This window comes from Homo sapiens, chromosome 8 (assembly GCF_000001405.40).
Source record: "Homo sapiens chromosome 8, GRCh38.p14 Primary Assembly".
Classification (NCBI taxonomy): domain Eukaryota; kingdom Metazoa; phylum Chordata; class Mammalia; order Primates; family Hominidae; genus Homo; species Homo sapiens.
The window spans coordinates 143,611,724-143,634,122 of NC_000008.11; the positions used below are offsets into that span (position 1 = coordinate 143,611,724).

At 54.0% G+C, this 22,399-nt stretch overlaps 1 protein-coding gene and 1 long non-coding RNA gene across 13 annotated transcripts, besides 3 other annotated features; both read right to left on the minus strand.

Annotated features, from left to right (window-relative positions):
* GFUS (GDP-L-fucose synthase) lies at nt 895–6,325 on the minus strand. 11 transcript variants are annotated; one of them, NR_182148.1, is made up of 11 exons: nt 5,751–5,826; nt 4,844–5,000; nt 4,383–4,497; nt 3,064–3,192; nt 2,901–2,974; nt 2,597–2,730; nt 2,441–2,501; nt 2,028–2,094; nt 1,801–1,880; nt 1,473–1,572; nt 895–1,242 (listed from the first exon to the last, which is right to left on the minus strand). NR_182148.1 is itself a non-coding variant. In NM_001413408.1 (11 exons), the coding sequence occupies exons 2-11, from the start codon at nt 4,987–4,989 to the stop codon at nt 1,187–1,189; spliced, it is 966 nt and encodes a 321-aa protein (NP_001400337.1). In that variant the 5' UTR covers nt 4,990–5,000; nt 6,205–6,325; the 3' UTR covers nt 895–1,186. The 11 variants fall into 11 exon arrangements, 9 of the variants coding, with proteins under 9 accessions (NP_001400337.1, NP_001400339.1, NP_003304.1 ...); NM_001413408.1 differs by lacking the exon at nt 5,751–5,826 and adding an exon at nt 6,205–6,325 and having other exon boundaries at nt 2,441–2,505; NM_001413410.1 differs by having other exon boundaries at nt 895–1,234; nt 2,441–2,505.
* Nucleotides 5,948–6,127: a silencer, noted in NCBI's record as "silent region_19623". NCBI's record gives its function as "represses an Ori minimal core promoter by ATAC-STARR-seq in GM12878 lymphoblastoid cells {active_cell/tissue: GM12878}" and the evidence as "EXISTENCE:reporter gene assay evidence [ECO:0000049][PMID:35858748]".
* Nucleotides 5,948–6,607: a biological region, named in NCBI's record as "H3K27ac-H3K4me1 hESC enhancer GRCh37_chr8:144699896-144700500".
* Nucleotides 6,003–6,607: an enhancer, noted in NCBI's record as "H3K27ac-H3K4me1 hESC enhancer chr8:144699896-144700500 (GRCh37/hg19 assembly coordinates)". NCBI's record gives its function as "activates a minimal SCP1, AML or CMV promoter by ChIP-STARR-seq in primed H9 embryonic stem cells {active_cell/tissue: H9 hESC(primed)}" and the evidence as "EXISTENCE:reporter gene assay evidence [ECO:0000049][PMID:30033119]".
* Nucleotides 8,863–22,181, minus strand: LOC105375798 (uncharacterized). Of its 2 annotated transcripts, none has more exons than NR_188083.1 (3): nt 21,727–22,181; nt 20,567–20,741; nt 8,863–9,177 (listed from the first exon to the last, which is right to left on the minus strand). It is a non-coding gene; the product is annotated as an uncharacterized LOC105375798 (long non-coding RNA). The 2 variants fall into 2 exon arrangements; NR_188084.1 differs by lacking the exon at nt 21,727–22,181 and adding an exon at nt 21,011–21,060.
* Between the last annotated feature and the right edge of the window lie 218 nt (nt 22,182–22,399).

The following is a 22,399-nucleotide window of genomic DNA, read 5'->3' on the forward strand; positions in this document are numbered from 1 at the left end:
GAAGAAGTGAAGCAGCAGGTCCTACCTGCAGCCAAAAGGCATCATGTGCGTGAAGACGGCACAGGGCGCCCAGGAGAGGGACCCTGAGGACGTGGGCCCAGAGTTGGGCCAGGAGCCAGGGAGGGCATCTGGGTCCTGGATGCAGTGGACCAGAGGGTTCTGGCATAGGGGCTCCCTCTGTGAGAGGCACTGAGAAAGGGGGCGACGGGCAAGCCGGGGCCTGGAGCCCAGTGCTCCTGGTCCATACCCCAGCGCCACCCTGCCTGGCTGAGGCACTGGCCCGGGAACCATTCTGGACTTTGCTGTCTCCCCTCTGAGAATGGACGGGGGCGGCGAGCAATGACACCCCACCTCTGGTGGCTGGAGCTGACCTGTCCAGCAGGCACCTGTCCCTCTCCATGGGATAAGGCCAGGTGGGGGACCCACGCCCAAGCCTGAGAGCCACAGAGAGGAGGGGCCAGGCCAGGGGAAGCCCGAGCCACCCAATCATCAGCCTCCCCTCATATCCATCCATGGGCTCAGCTCGGCTGGCTCACTAGACGTTTCTGGCCCACTAGACCAGCTTCCCCAGAGCCCTCAGGCTGAGGCAGGGAGGTCCGGGTGAGCTCAAGTTACTCAGGCCTGCAGGTGGCCACATGTGGAGGGGCTGGGACTGGCCCTGCCCTGCACATCCTTGTCCAGCTGACAGTCCACACCAGTCTCACTGCTGCCTGCCTGCTGCCTGCCCACGTGTGCCTTCCCATCTCCAGCCTCTGCGGCCTTTCCACCCCAGGGAGTCACCAGCTCTTGGGGGCTGAACAGTAAGCCAGGGGGATAGTGGGTCCTGGGACTGGCCAGGCTAGGGGGCAGTCCCTGGGTGTGGGGGACGGCTCAGCACAGAGCTGCCAAGGCCAGGCCTGTGAAAATGCACTTTATTGGCTCCCAGGGAGTGGGATGCAGGATCAGAGTGGACACGCGCAGGGGGCTGGTGTGGGGAGCAAAGCGCCGGGCCTGCCCGGGACCCTGGTTTCCCTGAGGACCAACGTGAATGGGGGCCCCACTGGAAAGATGCTTGGGGCTGCAGAGCGGATGGAATGCAGGCCCAGGTTGCTGGGTGGTGCCCTCAGCTCCTGGCAGGGTTGACGGGTGGTGGCCGCTGGGCTCTGCCAGCCGATGGTCCGCTGGCACCTGATCCTGTCTTCCAGCTTCACTTCCGGGCCTGCTCGTAGTTGTCAGTGAACCAAGCACAGGTCTCCTTCACCGCTGCAGAGGCAGGCAGGTGAGGGCCATGGACAGGGAGGGTCGGGGCCGCATGGGAGGAAGTGGGGGGAGGAGGCCCAGGGACAGGGAAGTCACCCCTCAGAGCTTTGGTGTCCCACCTCCAGGGCAGTACAGGCTCTGAGGGGGCACCTCACCTCTGCCCTGGTAGCGAGCATGAGGGAGGGGCTGGGGCAGGCCTCCACCAAGTGGAGGGCTGTGGGGTCAGGGCTCACCCTGCTTGAAGGGTGTGAACCGGAAGTCGGGCAGGTAGGTCCTCAGCTTGCTGTTACTGGCTGTCTTCTTAAACTGCCCATCCGACTTGGTTGTATCAAACTGGAGGCTTTGTCAAGGCCACAGCGAGAAGAGCACCTCCACCCCAGCCCCCGCAGCTTGCCCTTGAACCTCTGCCATTCCCAGGGGAGCCACAGCAGAGCTCCTCCGCCTGCCAGGGTGAGCATCCTCCCTCCGCAGTGTCCCACCCACGCTGGCCCTACACCGGGTGGCCACTGAGCCCGCCCAAGGGGCCCCCGCCCAACCCCCAGCACTGGAGCCAGAGGATACGGTGACTTCCCCATGGAAGTCCATGGCCTCCACCACCGCCTCGGCTGCCTCCTTGATGGAGACCTCATCTTCCTCGCCCACTGTGGGGAGCCACCGGGTCAGGCCTCCCCTTGGTGCCACCCGACGGCCCATGAATATTCCTGCTCCCACCCCTCAGCCAGCCTCCCAGGACAACCTTGGATCCTGTCCTACCATGGAGGAAGGGGGCTGAGGGCTGAGGTACCCACCGGAGAGGATGATGGGCTCCACTTCATTGTACTCCCGCAGGACCCAGATAAAGAGCTGGGCCAGGTCCTAGAGGTCAGACAGGCAGGGTCAGAGACCATGGGTATAGCCAACCCTCTCCCAAACGCCCCTGCTGGGGAGTCCATACTGCTGTCCTTGTTCAGTGGGGGCTCAGCCTGGGGAACAGGGGTCCCTCCTTTCTCCCTTGGAGCTCAGAGCTACGCCAGTGACTCCTGGAGACAGGAGCCTATGGGGCCTCCACGAGGACCAGAGATGGCTCCTCTTGGAGCTCAGCCCAGATTCTCTGCTGGTAGGAGCCTCCCTCCTGCACCACCTCCCCGACAGCCCAGCAGGGGCCAGCCCAGGGCTCAATAGGGCAGGTTCTCTGGGGAGAGCTGTGCCTTCCTTTACGCACCAGCGAGTATATGAACTGCCTCCGCGGATTCCCTGTACCCCACACCGTCAGGGCCGAGCCGCTGCCTGCAGATTTGGGGAAGGAGCAGGTGTCAGAGGCACTGGGTCACCTCCTCCCGAGCTGAGCCCGGGCACCCCATCGGACGGACGCACTCACTCTTGGCCAGGTGCACCTTGTGGATGAGGCCAGGCAGCACGTGGCCATCCTCGATGTTGAAGTTGTCGTGGGGCCCGAAGACGTTGGTGGGGATGACAGCGGTGAAGGTGCAGCCGTACTGCTGGAAGTAGGCCCTGCGGAGGCACAGCGTCTCCTGCCCTCGTCCTGGGCCCGCGATCCCACCCCAGGCTGCCGCTGGCCTCTTACTGAGGCTGGCACGAAGACCCGACCAGCCGGCCCCACCCGCCCCTGGGGGCCCTCTCCCCGACTCCTGGCTGGGCCTCAGCAGGATGGGCGCGAGGACCTGTTCTGCACGTCGATCATCCTCTTGGCATACGAGTACCCAAAATTGCTGTTGTGGGGAGGCCCATTGTGGATCTGCGGGCGTGGGAGAGGCAGAGGCCGCTACTTCCTGGCCCTGCCCACCGGCTCCCCGGCCCCACCCACAGCCAGGCCCTGCCCCTCACCATGGTCTCATCTATCGGGTAGGTCGTCTTGTCAGGGAAGATACAGGTGGACAGGCAGGACACCACCTTGCGGGCGCCCACCTCAAAGGCCGAGTGCAGGACGTTGTCGTTCATGTGCACGTTTTTCCTCTGCAGGGGTGAGGCGGGGACAGTTCAGGCTCCCCAGGCCAGATCCCAGCCCTTACCTGCTCCTCCAGACGCAGAAGTGGAGACACACCCTGGCCCTTCAGCCCTGGGAGGACCCAAGCCTGCCCATCCTAACCGTTTCCGGACAAGGCAGTGGGCTTACAGACACCATTGCTCTCCAGCCCCACCAAGGCTGGAGGAGGGGCTGGCTCTGCCTTCCACTATGAGGAGAACCACACCCCCAGCTCAGGGCTGGGCCCCACCCAGGAGGCTGCTGAGGTCAGGGCATAGGACCCCACTGGAGGCTGGGAAGGAGCCCAGTCTGGCCCTGGGCTGGGCTGGGGCTCCCACTACACGGGGAACAGGGCGGTCTACTTCCCCACCCTGGAGGAGCTCCCACCTGGCTCTACTTCCCAGGATCAATGGAGCCTGCGCTTGCCGGGTCCACCCCGCGGGCCCCACTTCCCGTGCATGAACTAGACACGGCATGGCTGGAGCCCTGGGACTGGTCTTGGGAGAAGGGAGAGGTGGTGGCCAGGCAGCCTGCTGGGAAGGCCGAGACACCGACAAAGAGGGCTCTGGGGTGACAGGGCTCCTGGGCAGAATCTCCTCTGAGCCTCTGCTCACGCTAGTGCCTCCTACGCTTAGCAAAGCCAGCTAAGGCAAGGCTGCTGCCCAGTGACTGGTGGGGCCAACCCTCCGGAACACAGCTAGCCACGGCAGGGCCCTTACACCACGCCCCCTTCCCCCAGACACAGGCAGCAGATGCACAGAGCGCGGTTCACACCCCTGCACCCCAGAGTGTGTGGTGGGCCCGGCTAAGGGGAGCTGGGCCAGCACAGTCCTGGGAGCCAGAGGCTCCAGAGGCCCTGGGGACTCAGGGGGCAGGAACCAGCTCCCAGTCCCACGTGGCCGCTGGCTCTTTTCAGCCTCCCAATGCTGCAAGTCAGCTCCACAGCTTTGCCTACTGGGCCAAGTGCCTCCAGGCCCCCTGCATGGCCCTCTGTCCACAGCACCAAGTGTGAGTGACTGGGGGTCCCTCAGGGGCTGCCCCCACCAGGCTGTGCCAAGCCCTGATCCTCAGGGACTTCCTGGGGTGGGAATGTGGGCCTGTGAGAGTGGGAAGCCCGCCAGGAAGTTCCCAGAACCTGGGATCCTGGTTTCCAGTGCTTGCTGGGGCCACCCTCACTTACCCAGAAGTCCAAATTGTATTTGATATTCCGGAACAGGCCCCCCACCATTGCAGCAAGATGGATGACGTGTGTGGGTTGGACCTTCTCAAACAGGGCGCGGGTCTGTGCTGTATCCCTGTAGGAAGCCAGGCTGTCAGGAGGCTCTGGAGGGAACCAGCACCCCAGGGTTGGGTGCCAAGTGCAGGAACTGGGTGGGACTATGGCAGGAGGGACAGTCAAAAGGGAGGGTGGCCCCAGGGCCTGGCTGATATGAGGGTGCAGGCTTCCAGGAAGAGATGGGAGGGTGTTTGTTTTTCCAGGAACACAGCCAAGCACACCCAGGCCAGGCCAGCCACCTGGCAGGAAGGACCCAGAAACACAGCTACTGTTAGACTCAGCAACATGCCCAGCCTGGAACTCTTAGTTCTAGGGTGGGGGGTAGGATGGAGAGGAAGGGCTGATCTGGGGATGGGCTCACTCACGTGAGATCGGCGTCTTTAGAGGAGACAAACACCCAGTCCTCTCCAGGAAGTCCAGCTCCATCTGCTACCACCTTCTGGATGGCTTTGCCTACCAGCCCAGAGCCCCCTGTCACTAGAATCCGCATGGATCCCTGGGGTTCACCCATGTCAGTTGCACCTGTAATGTCAAACAGTGGGAGGCTGAGGTCATCACGCTCTCATCCTTTGGAGCCCCACTCTTCTGTGGCAACTGGCACAGAGTGAGGCCCTCAGAGTGGGGCATAGTCCACTGGCAACCAGAAAGACCCAGCTGGACCGAGGCACTCCCTCGTCGCAGCCCTGTTCCCCTGGGAGCTCTCAGCCTACAGCGCCGCAGGGGTCCTGAGCTACCACCCAGCCCAGAGCAGCTGGTCCCAACCCACGACTCCCCACTAGGCCGAGAAAAGGTACATTCTACTCCCCTCTGACTGACAAGAGGGGAGGCAGACAACCTTGGGACGGGGGCTCCTGGCACAGGTCGTTAACACGGTTCGCAGCTAAAGCCCGCATGCTAGGGACAGGCACGAGACGGCGCCTGTGTGCAGCCCACGCCCACTCGAGGCTGGCTGGTCCTGGAGAGCCCTGGCGAGCCAGATTCCTCCAGGGCAGGACAGGCCTCGGGGCGCAGCCACCCTCAAGGATCCCATCCTGGGAGCCGGAAACCTGCTCGGGCTCCCCCGGCAGGGCCCCAGGGCCAGCCCTTAGGGGAGGGGGCCCTGCGCAGGCGTCGCGCGGCTCCCAAGCACGCGGGGAGACCTCACCGCAGCCAGACCCTCTACCACAGCCCCAGGCTGCCCCCATGCCCCTCGATCCCAGACCCCCACAGCGCTCCCTGACTCTCACGGAGCATCCAGGGCCCAGGGCGCGGCTGAGTCCGGTGCCACCTCACCTGCGTCCAGCCCCACCGCCGGCTCCCCGACAGCGGCTTCCGGCCGGGTGCGCTCCGGCTGCCCGCGGAGCCAGGTGGGGGGCGGGGCCGGGAGGCTGGGGCGGGGCACTCTGGGAAATGGAGTCCCGGGGGCGCGCAGCGTCCCGGGCACAGCTGGGACTTGGAGTCCGCGGCCGCAAAGCCGCTTGGGAAGCGCAGTCTCGTCCGCCGGCCGCGCGCGGGCGGGTCCCCGGACGAAGTCCCGGGCCGCAACCTCTTTAGCCCGCGGGGCGCTGGGCCCAGGCCCTGCTTGGGACGGCGGAAGGACACGAGACGAGGGCCAGCCGGCAGCGCCGCGCGGGATGCCCGCGGCGTCGGAAGGAGCCTCGCCGGCGCTGGGGCCAGGCGGGCTTACGCTGCGGCGTCTCCCTTTGCTCCCCTTCCCTCCCAGGGTTCCGCCCCCGAATACGCAGACCTCGCGCCGCAGCCTCTTGGATTCCGGCCGCGATGAGGAGCCCGGGTTGTCGTCCCAAGCACTTGCACTGTCACCCGCGCCCATGGGTACGCCCAGGCTCGGGCAGCAAGCAGCAAACAACACCAGAGTTACGGCGAATCACGTTGGGTGACTGTGGGTGACAGCGGGTCACGGCGGGTTAAGAAGGATCACATCGGATCACGATGGGTCACGGCGAGTCAAGGAGGGTCGCGGCGGCTCACAGTGGTTCCCACGGTCGCGCTGCGAGCCGCCAGCTGCTCCTGCCCTCAGCTCAGAGCCCAGTCCTGCTGCCTGGGGCGGGAGGGGGTGGCAGCGCGGCCCTGACATCGAGAGGCCACCGTCATCGTCTTCCATCGAAAGGCGTTTAAAAGCAGTCACGGCCATGCGCGGTGGCTCAGGCCTGTGATCCCAGCACTTTGGGAGGCCGAGGCGGGCGGATCATTTGAGGTCAGGAGTTCGAGACCAGCCTGGCAAAACATGGTGAAATCCGGTATCTAATAAAAATGAAAAATTAGTCGGGGGTAGTTGCGCGCGCCTGTAATCCCAGCTACTTGGGAGGCTGAGGCAGGAGAATCGCTTGACCCCAGGAGGCAGAGGTTGCAGTGAGCCCAGGTGGCGCCACCGCACCCCAGCCTGGACGACAGAGCGAGACTCCATCTCAAATAAATAAAATAAAAACAGTCACTCAGGCTGACAAGGGTAAGGGAAATGTGGTCCGCCCCCACCACCTTAACATCTTGCTATGAAAGGACGTTTCATGATGATAACGTTTAAAGACATCCGTAAGGCGATGGCTTTTATCTGACTGGAAGTTAGCAAAACATTAGAGATGACTGAAGTGAGTCGCTGCTGGGTATGTCCACCTGCTCTGGTGATGGGCAGGCAGCGTTGCTTAATAAAGATTTCACAATTTTAGGCCGGGCGCAGTGGCTCACGCCTGTAATCCCAGCACTTTGGGAGGCCGAGGCAGGCGGATCACGAGGTCAGGAGATCGAGACCATCCTGGCTAACACGGTGAAACCCTGTCTCTACTAAAAAAAAACAAAAAAATTAGCCCGGCATGGTGGGGGGCGCCCGTAGTCCCAGCTACTCCGGAGGCTGAGGCAGGAGAATGGCCTGAACCCGGGAGGCGGAGCTTGCAGTGAGCCGAGATCGCGCCACTGCACTCCAGCCTGGGCGACAGAGCGAGACTCCATCTCAAAAAAAAAAAAGACTTCACAGTTTCTAAATTGTTATATATTTCTTCCATAAAAATTTAGTTTTCTTCATTTCAGCAGTTACTAATTATGATATTAAAGTCACATAATTTGTATTCTGTTGACCATAGTGTCGAACTACACAATCTTTCTTAAGTCATTGTACTTCTTTTTTGTTTTCAGAGATGGAGTCTTGCTGTGTTGCCCAGGCTGGTCTCAAATTCCTGTCCTGATCACTCAAATTCAAGCATTCCTCCTGCCTTGGCCTCCCAAACCTCTGAGATTACAGGCATGAGCCATTGCACTCGGCTTGTACTCTTCTTTTTAAAAATTGGTTCGGCTGGGTGTGGTGGCTCACACCTGTAATCCCAGCACTTTGGGAGGCCGAGGTGGGCAGATCACCTGAGGTCGGGAGTTCGAGACCAGCCTGACCAACATGGAGAAACCCCGTCTCTACTAAAAATACAAAATTAGCTGGGTGTGGTGGTGCATGCCTGTAATTCCAGCTACTCGGGAGGCTGAGGCAGGAGAATCGCTTGAACTAGGGAGGCAGAGGTGACTGCGCTGAGATCGTGCCACTGCACTCCAGCCTGGGTGACAGAGCAAGACTCCGTCTCAAAAAAAAAAAAAAAAAGATTCAATTTGGAGACTTTTTTCTGTTGAGGCAGTAGAAACTGAAATTATCAAAGAAATCCAAAATTTCTTTTTTTGTTTTTTTTGAGATGGAGTCTCGCTCTCTCGCCCAGGCTGGAGTACAGTGGTGTGATCTCGGCTCACTGCAACCTCTGCCTCCCAGATTCAAGCAATTCTCATGCCTCAGCCTCCCGAGTAGCTGGGACTACAGGTGCGTGCCACCACGCCCAGCTAATTTTTGTATTTTTAGTAGAGACGGGGTTTCACCCTCTTAGCCAGGATGGTCTCGATCTCCTGACCTTGTGATCCGCCTGCCTCGGCCTCCCAAAGTGCTGGGATTACAGGCATGAGCCACCACGCCTGGCCTCCATTTCTTAGATTCAGAAATTAGTCGTGGATTTTTTTTTTTTTTTTGAGATGGAGTCTTGCTCTGTTGCCCAGGCTGCAGTGCAGTGGCGTGATCTTGGCTCACTGTAACCTCCGCCTCCCAGGTTCAAGCGATTCTCGTGCCTCAGCTTCCCTGAGTAGATGGGATTACAGGCGCCCGCCACTACACTTGGCTAATTTTTGTATTTTTATTAGAGACAGGGTTTCGCCATGTTGGCCAGGCTGGTTTTGAACTCCTGATCTCGGGTGATCCGCTTGCTTCAGCCTCCGAAAGTGTTGGGATTACAGGTGTGAACCACTGCACCCAGCCAGTCATGGATTTTTATATATAATGTTTAATTTCACTTTATAATCACCACCTTTATAGAGCGCTGCTCACCATCTGTCTTAGTCTGTTCAGGTCTCTGAAGCACAGAGTGGATGGCTGTAAACAACAGAAATTTATTTCTCACAGATCTGGAGGTTGGGAAGTGCAGGAACCAGGTGCTGGCAGATTCCGTGTCTGGTGTGGCCACTTCCTGGTTCAAGATGGCATCTGTGTCCTCGCCTGCTGGAAAGGGCCAGGAGCCTTTCTCTAGCCTCCTTTATGAGAGCAGTCATCCCATCCCAAAGTCCTCACCTCCTCATACCATCACCTTCGGGGTTAGGATTTCAACAGATAACAAATATTCAGGCCATAGATAGCGCCGTGTCTTACAGCAACAGTCTTTCTCATGCTCCTTCAGGCTTCCCAGTGCTGGAGTATTGTAAACAAAAAGAAAAAGAGCAGGAAGATAGTCTGTCTGTTCACATCTCTCTTTGATTGGCCCTATACCTTAATCTCTAACAGTCAGAAAATCCTTTATGCTAAAATTACCTTAGGATTATTTATGTGAGAATTTTCTCCTTCATAGTCATACAAACATTTTTGTGCCAATTTCCCCTATTTTATTGGTATGCCACTCTTGTGTATTTCATGTGCAGCTTTTTCAATTTAGAAAAATATTTTCTCTAAAATTAAAGAAATGTGTTTTAAAATCCTTTCGAAAGTGAATTTGTCAGTCTTTCTGCTTGGGTTTTGGTGAGCTTTCTCTAACATTATTAATGACCTACAGTTCATATCAAATAGCTGTGGCAGTGAACATTCAAAATTAATTTTGTTTCCCATGAAAGACAATTAGGTATTCATCTGGGTATCCTACACCATTTCCCTTCTCTCTCAGAGCTTCTCAAATCCTGTCTACATCGTATCTGATGCTTTTGACATGTCACTATTCCTATTCTGTGTCCAAGCAGGGAAGGGTTCAAGGTCAAAACGGATCCAGATTTCTTCAAGATGTTCCATCTTTGGGCGAACTTAAGAAATATTGGGCCGGGCGCGGTGGCTCATGCCTACAATCCCAGCATCTTTGGGAGGCTAAAGCAGGAGGATCCCTTGAGCCCAGGAGTTTGAAGCTGTAGTGAGCTGTGATTGTGCCACGGCACTCTAGCCTGGGGACGGAGTGAGAACTTTTCTCTTAAGAAAAAGAAGAGATAATAATAGCATTTGTAATTTTGAATTGTTTTAAGGCAGCGGTCCACAGCCTTTTTGGCACCGGGGATTGGTTTTGTGGAAGACAATTTTTCCATGGACCAGGGCGGGGGTGGTTTCAGGACGAAACTGTTCCACCTCAGATCCTCAGGCATTGGATTCTCATAAGGAGCGCACAACCTAGATCCCTTGTCTGCACAGTTCACAATAGGGTTGGTGCTCCGATGAGAATCTGATGCCACACTGATACCAGAGGAGGGAGAGTTCAAGCTGAAATGCTCACTCGCCTGGCCTCACCTCCTGCTATGTGGCCCAGTTCCTAACAGGCCACAGACCGGAACTGGTCCATAGCCTGGGGGTTGGGGATCCCTCTTATAAGGAATATCACTGGTCTCAGATGTGCAGTTGAATCCACATCTCTTAGTAACAAATTAAAACAATGTACCAGGCCAGTAATTCACGCCTGTAATCACAGTGCTTTGCGAGGTGGAGGTATCACCCTTGAGGCCAGAAGTTTGAGACAAGCCTGGCCAACATAGTGAGACCCCGTCTCTACAAAAAATAAAAAATTAGCCAGAGGCCAGGCACGGTGGCTAACCCTTGTAATCCCAGCATTTTGGGAGGCTGAGGTGGGCAGATCACCTGAGGTCAGGGGTTCGAGACCATCCTGGCCAACATGGTAAAACCCTGTCTCTACTAAAAATACAAAAAAAAAATTAGCCAGGCATGGTGAGGGGCGCCTGTAATCCCAGCTACTCAGGAGGCTGAGGCATGAGAATTGCTTGAACCCGGGAGGTAGAGGTTGCAGTGAGCTGAGGTTGTGCCACTGCACTCCAGCAGGGGCAACAGAGTGGGACTCCGTTTCAAAAAAAAAAATTAGCTGGATATGGTGCTGCATGCCTGTGGGTCCAGCTACCTGGGAGGCTGAGGTGGGAGGATCACTTGAGCCCAGGAGGTCGAGGCTGCAGTGAGCTATGATTACACCACTGCACTCCAGCCTGGGCGACAGAGTGAGGCCCTGTCTCAAATCAAACAAAAAAACCCAATCGGCCAGGTGCGGTGGCTCACGCCTGTAATCCCAGCACTTTGGGAGGCTGAGGCGGGCGGATCACGAGGTCAGGAGTTCAAGACCAGCCTGGCCAATATGGTGAAGGAAGTTAATTAATTAACTCTCAAAGTGCTGGGATGACAGGTGTGAACCACTATGTCCGGCGGAAATACAAATTAAAACCACAAAGAGAGGGAGAGGGGAGTAAAAAAACCCTAAAACCACAAAAAGAGCATTTTATATCCATCAGATTGGCCCATTTAACCATCAGATGGTGCCTAGGGTTGGTGAGGACGCAGAGCTACAGGTGGCACAGACACTACGAGACAGGAGGTCCCCCTCGCAGAGTCGCAGGCCGATCCCTGTCTGCACAGCAGCGACGCTCCCAGAGTCTACCAGAGAGGGTGTCCTGTGTGTGCACTGGGAGACGGCGCAGGAATTCCACAGCAGCCCTGCAGTAAAGCAAAAAGATGCAGACAGCACTGACGGCCTGGACAGGAGAATGGATGGATAAGTGATGTTGATACCAGAAACTATTTTTCTGTGAAAATGGATATGTCAGCCTGAAGTAATCAAAAGGTTAGAATCAGTTTTTTTGTGTCGTTTTGTTTTGAGATGGAGTTTCGCTCTTGCTGCCCAGGCTGGAGTTCAATGGCGTGCTCTCGGCTCACCGCAACCTCTGCCTCCTGGGTTCAAGTGATTCTCCTGCCTCAGCCACCTGAGTAGCTGGGATTACAGACATGCACCAACATGGCTAATTTTTTTTTTTTTTTTTTTTTTTGTAGAGATGGGTTTCTCCATGTTGGTCAGGTTGGTCTCAAACTCCTGACCTCAGGTGGTCTGCCTGCCTCGGCCTCCCAAAGCGCTGGGATTATAGGCGTGAGCCACTGCGCCTGGCCCAGAATCAGTTTTGTATTATTTTGTTTTGAGGCAGGGTCTTGCTCTATTGCTAGACCCTGTCCCAGAACAAAACAAAACAAAACAAAAATTCAACTGCCCACTGGAGTGCAGTGGCCAATCATGGCTCACTGAATCTTTGGCCTCCTGGGTCCAAGCAATCCTTCTACCTTGGCCTCCTGAGTAGCTGGAACTAGGGGTGTGCACCACCACACCCAGCTAATTCTTGCATTTTTTTGTAAAGATGAGGTCTCCCTATTTTTTTTTTTTTTTTTGAGACGGAGTCTCACTCTAGCGCCCAGGCTGGAGTGCAGTGGCACTATCTCGACTCACTGCAAGCTCCGCCTCCCGGGTTCGCACCATTCTCCTGCCTCAGCCTCCCGAGTAGCTGGGACTACAGATGCCCGCCACCGTGTCTGGCTAATTTTTGTATTTTTAGTAGAGACGGGGTTTCACCGTGTTAGCCAGGATGGTCTCGATCTCCTGACCTCATGATCTGCCCGCCTTGGCCTCCCAAAGTGCTGGGATTACAGGCGTGAGCCACTGCGCCCGGCCGAGTTCTCCCTATTTTGCCTAGGCTGGCCTCAAACTCCTGGACTCAAGCAGTCTTCCTGCCTTGGCCTTCCAAAGTGCTGGAATTACAGGACTGACCCACCATGCCCAACCCAGAATTAGTTTTAAAGAGTTTATTCAGGCAAAAAGCTGGGAATAGCTACCTAGGAGACACTGACTGCAGAGAAATGGGTTCAATGTTCCTGTATTAGTCTGCTTTCACACTGCTGATAAAGACATACCCAAGACTGGGCAATTTACAAAAGAAAGAGGTTTATTGGACTTAGAGTTCCATGTGGCTGGGGAGGCCTCACAATCATGATGGAAGGTGAAAGGCATGTCTCATATGGTGGCAGGCAAGAGAGCTTGTGCAGGGAAACTCCCCTTTATATAACCATCAGATCCTGTGAGCCATACTCACTATCACGAGAACAGCACAGGAAAGACCTGCCCCTGAGATTCAATTACCTTCCTACCAGGTTCCTCCTACAACACGTGGGAATTCCAGATGAGATTTGGGTGGGGACACAGCCAAACCATATCAGTTCCAAAGTTAAAAGTTAAGTTCTTGCTTATTAGAGACAGAAAACAAAGACGTTTACCTGGATTACAAAATTTTCTATACAAGGCTGGTTTAAGAGGTACGACAAATTAATTAGTTGGTTTCAGTGTGTTTTCTTTTCCCTACAGCATGTTTTCATTTCCTTTCTAACTTAAAAGAGTATATTTAACATTCCATCTTAATACAACTTGAGAGCCATAAAGCCTTTGTGTGAGGCAGCTGAGAAGGAGGTTAATCTACAGTGAAAGTCAACATTGGAGAGGCAAGGGCTCTTCCCTGGTACCCTTCAGCCATTTACAGCCTTTTACGAAACAATGCATGCAAGGAAGAAGGCTTAATCTAAAATCAGAGAAAAAAAAGGTTCTAGTTGCCTAGGTTACATACAACTGTCTGTCACATGACTCAGGTCTATAAGCATTCTTTTTTTTTTTTTTTGAGATGGAGTCTTGCTCTGTCGCCCAGGCTGGAGTGCAATGGCGTGATCTCAGCTCACTGCAACCTCTGCCCCCCAGGTTCAAACAATTCTCCTGCCTCACCCTCCCAAGTAGCTGGGACTAGAGGCACACACCACCACACCCAGCTAATTTTTGTATTTTTAGTAGAGACAGGGTTTCACCACGTTGGCCAGCCTGGTCTTGAACCCCTAACCTCAAGTGATCCACCCCCATCAGCCTCTCAAAGTGCTGGGATTACAGGCATGAGCCACCGGGCCTTGTCTCATAATCATTCTTTTAAGGCTTAAAATAATTTAGAGTTTCAACAGCTTAGATTTTGAATTATTTATTTTCACTGATAATTTATAGCTTCATATATTGGCAAATCTCAAAAATCTCAAAAAACATAACATGGAATGAAAAAGGCAGTGCTGTGGGTTGAATTACATCAACCAAAAAGCTATATTCAACTCCTAACCCCCAACTTACTGGTGAAGGTGACCTTTTTGGGAATGGGGTCTTTGCAGATGTCATCAAGTTAACATGAGGTCATATGGAGGTAGGGTGGGCCCAAATCCAGTGACTGATTTTTTTTTTTTTTTTCTGAGACAGAGTCTACCTCTGTCGCCCAGGCTGGAGTGCACTGGTGCCATCTTGGCTCACTGCAACCTCCACCTCCCAGGTTCACGCCATTCTCCTGCCTCAGCTTCCCGAGTAGCTGGGACTATAGGTGCCTGCCACCACGCCCGGCTAATTTTTTGTAGTTCTAGTAGAAACGGGGTTTCACTGTAGCCAGGATGGTCTTGATCTCCTGACCTCATGATCTGCCTGCCTTGGCCTCCCAAAGTGCTGGGATTACAAGCATGAGCCACCACGCCTGGCCTTTTTTTTTTTTGTTTTTGAGACAGAGTCTCTCTGTCGCCCTGACTGGAATGCAATGACGCGATCTTGGCTCAGTGCAACCTCCACCTCCCGGGTTCAAGCAATTCTCCTGCCTCAGCCTCCAGTGTAGCTGGGATTACAGGAGCATGCTGCCACGCCCGGCTAACTTTTTGTATTTTAGTAGAGATGGAGTTTCACCGTGTTGCCCAGGCTGGTCTCAAACTCCTGAGCTCAGGCAATCCTCCTGCCTTGGCCTCCCAAAGTGCTGGGATTACAGGCATGCGCCGCCACGCCCGGCTAATTTTTTGTATTTTTAGTAGAGATGGGGTTTCTCCATATTGGTCAGGCTGGTCTTGAACTCCCGATCTCAGGTGATCCGCCCGCCTCGGCCTCCCAAAGTGCTGGGATTACAGGCGTAAGCCACTGTGCCCGGCCCGATATTCTTTTTTTTTTTTTTTTTTTTTGAGACGGAGTCTCGCTGTCGCCTAGGCTGGAGTGCAGTGGCATGATCTCGGCTCACTGCAGGCTCCGCCCCCCGGGGTTCACGCCATTCTCCTGCCTCAGCCTCCTGAGTAGCTGGGACTACAGGCACCTGCCATCTCGCCCGGCTAATTTTTTTTGTATTTTTACTAGAGACAGGGTTTCACCGTTTTAGCCAGGATGGTCTCCATCTCCTGACCTCGTGATCCGCCCGCCTCGGCCTCCCAAAGTGCTGGGATTACAGGCTTGAGCCACTGCGCCCGGTCCGATATTCTTATAAAGAGAGGAAATCTGGACACAGGGAGAAGACGGCTCCGTGATGATAGAGGCAGCTGTTGGAGAGATGCCGCTACAGCCAGAGAGTGCCAAGGATTGCCGGCCATCACCAGAATCGGGAAGAGGCTGCAAAGATTCCTCTCTAGATCCTTTGGAGGGAGCACAGTGCTACAGACACCCTGATTTTGAACGTCTAGCTTCTAGAACCACAGGACAATAACCTTGCGTTGTTTTGTGGCAATTAGCTGGGGCAGCCCCACGAGGTGTCTGCAGGCCTGCGTACACATCCTGCCTGTGCAGATGAGTGCCCTGACGGGGACGGAGAACTTCCCCTCCACCCTCTGAGCATTTGATACCTGAGCCTGTGGATCAATTGACCACAGGCAGATGAACAGGAGAAAAGGTGGACAAATATCTTCCATGCACAGGGCCATCCCAGGAAAGAAAAGTAAATATCTACACTAAACCCAGGGAGATCTAGAAGCTCTGACACTCTCAGCACAGGGGAGATGCAGGGGGATGTAGGCAACTTCAGGAGAGTCGATGTATTACATGGCATTTTTTGTATTTTTAAATTTTAATTTAATTAATTAACTTTTTTGTTTTTGAGATGGAGTCTCTCTCTGTGGCCGAGGCTGGAGTGCAGTGGCACCATCTCGGCTCACTGCAACCTCTGCCTCCTGGGTTCAAGCAATTCTCCTGCCTCAGCTTCCCAAGTAGCTGGGATTGCAGGCCCTGGCACCATGCCCAGCTAATTTTTGTATTTTTAGTAGAGACAGGGCTTCACCATGTTGGCCAGGCTGGTCTCAAACTCCTGACCTCAAGTGATCTGCCTGCCTTGGCCTCCCAAGGTGCTGGGATTACAGGCGTGAGCCTCTGTGCCCAGTCCCTCTGTTTTTTTACTCCAAAGGTAAACCATTTTAAATGATTTCTTATTAATACCTCCAATAATCTTTCTCTAAAGAGAAAACCAATTTTTATCTTTGCATCAGTATACTACTAATACTAAAGTTAATTTTTTTTTTTTTTGAGACAGAGTCTTACTCTGTCACTCAAGCTGGAGTGCAGTGGCATGATCGCGGCTCACTGCAACCTCCACCTCCTGGGTTCAAGTGATTCTCCTGCCTCAGCCTCCCGAGTAGCTGGGATTACATGTGCCTGCCTTAATGCCTGGCTAATTTTTGTATTTTTAGTAGAGACAGGGTTTCACCATGTTGGCCAGGCTGGTCTCGAACTCCTGACCTCAGGTGATCCGCCCACCTTGGCCTCCCAAAGTGCTGGGATTACAGGTGTGAGCTATCGTGCCCGGCCCCTAAAGTTAATTTTAATATAACTTTATAAACATATCTATCCGATTTCAGTTTTTATCACAGAAGATAAGATTTCCAAAAACATTTTATAACCTTTTACAACTTTCTATTAAAGAGCGGATCAATGCTCCAGGAAAACTCTGTTATTCCAACACAGGGCCCAGACTCTGGCTCTGCATCTGTGTGCTTTGTATATTAATGCTCAATTTTTAGTAAAACTAAATGATCCCCTTCTAATTTTAGCCATCTTGATCACACACACTTTTTTCTTTTCTTTTCTTTTCTTTTTTTGAGATGGAGTCTTGCTCTGTCGCCAGGCTGGAGTGCAGTGGCGCGATCTCAGCTCACTGTAATCTCCGCCTCTCAGGTTCAAGCGATTCTCTTGTCTCAGCCTCCCGAGTAGCTGGGATTACAGGGTGCACCATCATGCCCGGCTAATTTTTGTATTTTTAGTAGATAAGGGGTTTCACCCATGTTGGCGTCTTATTTTTTTTGGGACAAGGTCTCACTCTGTGGCCCAGGCTGGAGTACAGTGGCGTGAACGTGGCTCACTGTGTCGCCCAGGCTGGAGTACAGTGGCGTGAACGTGGCTCACTGTGTCGCCCAGGCTGGAGTACAGTGGCGTGAACGTGGCTCACTGTGTCGCCCAGGCTGGAGTACAGTGGCGTGAACGTGGCTCACTCTGTCGCCCAGGCTGGAGTACAGTGGCGTGAACGTGGCTCACTCTGTCGCCCAGGCTGGAGTACAGTGGCGTGAAGGTGGCTCACTCTGTCGCCCAGGCTGGAGTACAGTGGCGTGAACGTGGCTCACTCTGTCGCCCAGGCTGGAGTACAGTGGTGTGAACGTGGCTCACTCTGTCGCCCAGGCTGGAGTACAGTGGCGTGAACGTGGCTCACTCTGTCGCCCAGGCTGGAGTACAGTGGCGTGAACGTGGCTCACTGCAGCCTTGTACTCCTAGGTTCAAGCAATCCTCCCGCCGCAGCCTTTTGAGTAGCTAGGACTACAGGTATGTGCCACCACACCTGGCTAATTCTTTGGATTTTTAGTAGAGATGAGGTCTTGCTATGTTGCCCAGGCTTATCTTGAAGTCCTGAGCTCAAGCAGTCCTCCCACCTTGGCCTCCCAAAGTGCTGGGATTACAGGTGTGAGCCACTGAGCCCAGCCAGAAAATTCTTTCCACAAGATTCATCTTCCACAAACCTTGCACAACTCACTACCCCTCCAGTTTTAGCCTATACTTCCTTTTTATATTGGCATTCTGTACTAGGACCAAAATTGTTTTCCTTCCCCCATTATTTTGACCACACAAAATTCTCCTATGTAAAAGAAAAAAAATTGGCCAGGTGTGGTGGCTCATGCCTGTAATCCCAACACTTTGGGAGGCTGAGGTGGGTGGTTCACAAGGTCAGGAGTTCGAGACCACCCTGGGCAACATGGTGAAACCCAGCCTCTACCAAAAATATAACAAAATTAGCCGGGTATGGTGGAAGGCGCCTGTAATCCTAGCTTCTCCGGAGACTGAGGTAGGAGAATTGCTTGAACCTGGGAGGCGGAGGTTGCAGTGAGCCAAGATCACACTACTGCACTCCAGCCTGGGCAACGGAACGAGACGCCAGGTGCAGTGGCTCATGCCTGTAATCCCAGCACTTTGGGAGGCCGAGACTGGTAGATCACCTGAGGTCAGGAGTTCGAGACCAGCCTGACCAATATGGTGAAACCCCGTCTCTAATAAAAATACAAAAATTAGCTGGCGTGGTGGTGGGTGCCTGTAGTCCCAGTTACTCGGGAGGCTGAGACAGGAGAATTGCTTGAACCTGAGGCAGAGGTTGCAGTGAGCTGAGATCGTGCCACTGCACTCCAGCCTGGGCGACACAGCGAGACTCCGTCTCAAACAAAACAAAACAACACACACACACACACACACACACACACACACACACTCACTGTGAACCACTGCTGTTGGCCACCTCCAAAACTGCACAGCCCCCTGTGTAATTAACACTCACTGCAGACCACTGCTGTCAGCCACCTCCAAAACTGCAGCTCTCACCTATGACTAACTAGCCATCACACACGCAAAAGCACATAGTGTCTCACAGTACAAAGTAATCTCTGGTGGCCAGGTGCAGTGGTTCACAGCTGTAATCCTAGCACTTTGGGAGGTCGAGGCTGGTGGATCAACTGAGGTCAGGAGTTCAAGACCAGCCTGGCTAACATGGTGAAACCCCGTCTCTACAAAAATACAAAAAGTAGCCTGGCGTGGTCGTGGTTGCCTGTAATCCCAGCTACTCAGGAGACTGAGGTGGGAGAATCGCTTGAACCCGGGAGGTGGAGGGTGCAGTGAGCTGAGACCGTGCCATTGCACTCTAGCCTGGGCAACAGAGCCAGACTCCATCTCAAAAAATAAAAAATAAAAAAAATAAATAAATAAAAAAAACAAAAAACAAAAAACAAAGTAATCTCTGGTGCCCCCCAAAGCCAAAGAGATCAGGTGATACAATACAAAGAGAGCAGAGTTTTAGACCTGAGAGGACCCTGTCCATGACTCTTCAGCCTCCACAGGACGACCCAAAAGGGTGTGAGTGCCACCTTTTTCTGTGTTCCTTAAGGGGTCTGAGACACTGGACATCTTGTGATACCAAGACAGCAGAGGAGGGAGGAGCTTGAACCTCAGCTTTCAGTTAAGCTGACTTTTAACCATAGAGTTTTTTTTTTTTTTTTTTTTTTGGATATGGAGTCTCACTCTGTTGCCCAGGCTGGAGTGCAATGGTGTGATCTTGTCTCACTGCAACCTCTGCCTCCTGGGTTCAAGCGATTCTCCTGCCCCAGCCTCCCAAGTAGCTGGGATTATAGGCGCGCGCCACCACACCCAGCTAATTTTGTATTTTTAGAAGAGATGGGGTTTCACCATGTTAGCCAGGCTGGTCTTGAACTCCTGACCTCAGGTGATCCGCCCACCTCAGCCTCCCAAAGTGCTAGGATTACAGGTGTGAGCCACCGCACCCGGCCAGAGATCTTTTAAAAAAATATTTTTGATGAAGGGCAGGCGAGCCCCAAAATTGTGGCTTAGCCCACGAGGGTTCTTGGCTTTGCCCAGGAAAGAATTCAAGAGCGAGCCTATGGTGTTCAAAGCACCTTTGATTGAAGTGGCGTGTACAGCAGCAGCAGAGGGACTGCTCCTTGCAGACAGGGCTACCCCATAGGCAGTGAGCCCAGGGAAGCAGCTCAGAGGCACTTCTGCAGTCACATGTATATCCACTTTTAATCATATGCAAATTAAGGGGTAGCTTATGCAGAAATTTCTAGAATTAGGCCAGGTGAGGTGGCTCATGCCTGTAATCCCAGCACTTTGGGAGGCCAAGGCAGGCAGATCACCTGAGGTCAGGGGTTCGAGACCAGCCTGACCAACATGGTGAAACCCATCTCTACTAAAAATACAAATATTAACCAGGTGTGGTAGCGCACGCCTGTGGTCCCACTACTTAGGAAGCTGAGGCAGGAGAATCACTTGAACCCTGGGGGCAGAGGCTGCAGTGAGCCGAGATCACGCCATTGCACTCCAGCCTGGGCAACAGAGTGAGAACCTGTCTCAAAAAAAAAAAAAAAAAAAAAGAAATTTCTAGAATTAGCTTGGTAAGTTCTGCATTGTCTGTTTGTTGCCATGGAAAGAGGCGGTAGCTTCCGGTGTTGCCATGGCAATGGTAAACTGATATGGCACACTGGTGGGTGTGCCTTACAGGAGGCTCTTCTGCCCTGGACCTGTTTTAGCTAGTCCTCAGTTTGGTCCCATGTCCAAGCCCTGCCTCCGGAGTTGAGCTCCACCTCCTACCTCATTTTCTTTTTTTCTTTTTTAGAGACAGAGTTCCACTCTTGTTGCCCAGGCTGTAGTGCAATGGCATGATCTTGGCTCACTGCAACCTCCACCTTCCAGGTTCAAGCAATTATCCTACCTCAGCCTCCCAAGTAGCTGGGATTACAGGCGCGTGCCACCACACCCAGCTAATTTTTGTATTTTTAGTAGAGACGAGGTTTCATCATGTTGGTCCAGCTGATCCACCCACCTCAGCCTCCCAAAGTGCTGGGATTACAGGCGAGAGCCACCACACCCGGCATCATTTACTTTTGGATGTGCTTTGTGATACTCAGAAGAGACCTGCCTCCAGGCCACCCCTACCTTCTCTCTCCACCTGCAGGCACCTGAGGCCGCCTCTGTCTCATCCATCTTGAGTCTTGTGTGGGCTCAGCGATGCCCCTCCTTGCACGCATCACTCGTTTTCTCCCGGTGTCTGTCCCTCAAGATGGCCACTACTGCCACAACTCCCATCTGCACGTCTCGGGTCCTTCTCCAGCTACCAGCAGATTTTAAAAATCTTTTAATTTTTTGGCCTCACTTAGCAGCAAGGTCTCAAACTTACATCCCAAAGTGACCTTCTGTTCTTCTTTCACCTTTCTCCCACCTGCCCCACCCTGCGTCACCATGGATGTCAGCTTCCTGCCCACTCCCCACCCTCCTGTGAACCCTCCCTCGGCCTTCAGAGCCAGTCCCTGCCTCTTCCTGGCTCGGTCCAGTCTCACCCCAGGTGCTCTGCTGTGTGGCTGCCATTGCCACCGTCCTCACCCTGTCCTCTGTGGTCACCACGCAGCCAACGTGTCTTTCCAGTGTCATCTGGCTTTTGTTACACTCCTGCTCAGAAGCCAGTGTGGGCTTCCTGTGTGGCTTGGACCGGGACCACACAATCTGCCCCACCCAGTAGTTATCTCGGAAAGACTAATTCCCAAGCTGTCTTCAGCCCTCCATTGTCATCAACTTGTCCCCAGACTCCATTCGCCCAAAGCAGGAAAGCTCTGCTCATGGCCCGAAGACACAGTGGCCTTCCTCAGGGACATTTCCCAGACAGTTTTGTGCTTGCTCCCGTACCAAGACCACCCATGGCCTGTTTTCCTAAACCCCACATCCCAGATAGCTTGAAACTATGTTTTGGGATCTTTTATCAGAATTTCTGCTTTGTCTTCAGAATGGCTCCGTCCCCTCAAATCCCTATAAATTCCCTTTCTGGCTGAATGCAGTTTCTTTGGACAGCTTTCCTTTCTTGAGCTCTGGTTATGGCAACAGCGCCAGCCTCATCTTGCATGGCAGCCTCCCCTCGGGCCTTTTGCCTTCCAGCCACACTCCTTGGTTTTGGCATTGTACTTGCTCTAGGTCAAGGGCTTTGGAGGCAGATGGCTACATCTGAGGCCTCCTCCAGCATGTCCTGGCTGATACCTTAGGTGAGCCATTTGGTTTCCCTATTTCTGTTTCCTCATCTATAAAATGGAGATAATATTAGAAGTCACCTGGCAAGGCTGCTGTGGCTCGAGGGGGCTCCTAGGTGGGGAGCAGACTTTCACGGAGTGATGTTGGACCTGTGGAGGGGAAGACACAAGAGGCAGGAGTGGGGCTGTGATGCCATCAAGCACAGCGGCTACTGGTCCCCCACAGGGAGCTCTGCCACAGAAGTGGTCCTCAGGGCTGTCCTCGGTTGGACCAGGATGTCCAGGACTTTGCAATGTGGGCTGTCCCAGGGAAGGGTGTGACCCTGGCGAGTTGCAGCTGATGGCTGAAGGCCGCTTACCACACCCTGAACAACTGGGACACCCAGCCTGTCACTGGAGGGGTCTCCCGGGGCCTCTCATCGCAGCATCCACCACAGTTGCTGAGGTCCACATGGGCCAGGCACTGGGCTAGACATGGAACGAGACGGGGGTCCCTGACCTTACGGAGCTTCCTTTCTACTGGCAGGGACAATCAGTACCAAACAAGTAAACTCAAAGTATTAAGTGCCAGCCGGGCATGGTGGCTCAGGCCTGTAATCCCAGCACTTTGGAAGGCCGAGGCGGGTGGATCACGAGGTCAGGAGATCGAGAACATCCTGGCTAACATGGTGAAACCCTGTCTCCACTAAAAAACAAAAAATTAGCCGGGCGTGGTGGCGGGTGCCTGTAGTCCCAGCTACTCGGGAGGCTGAGG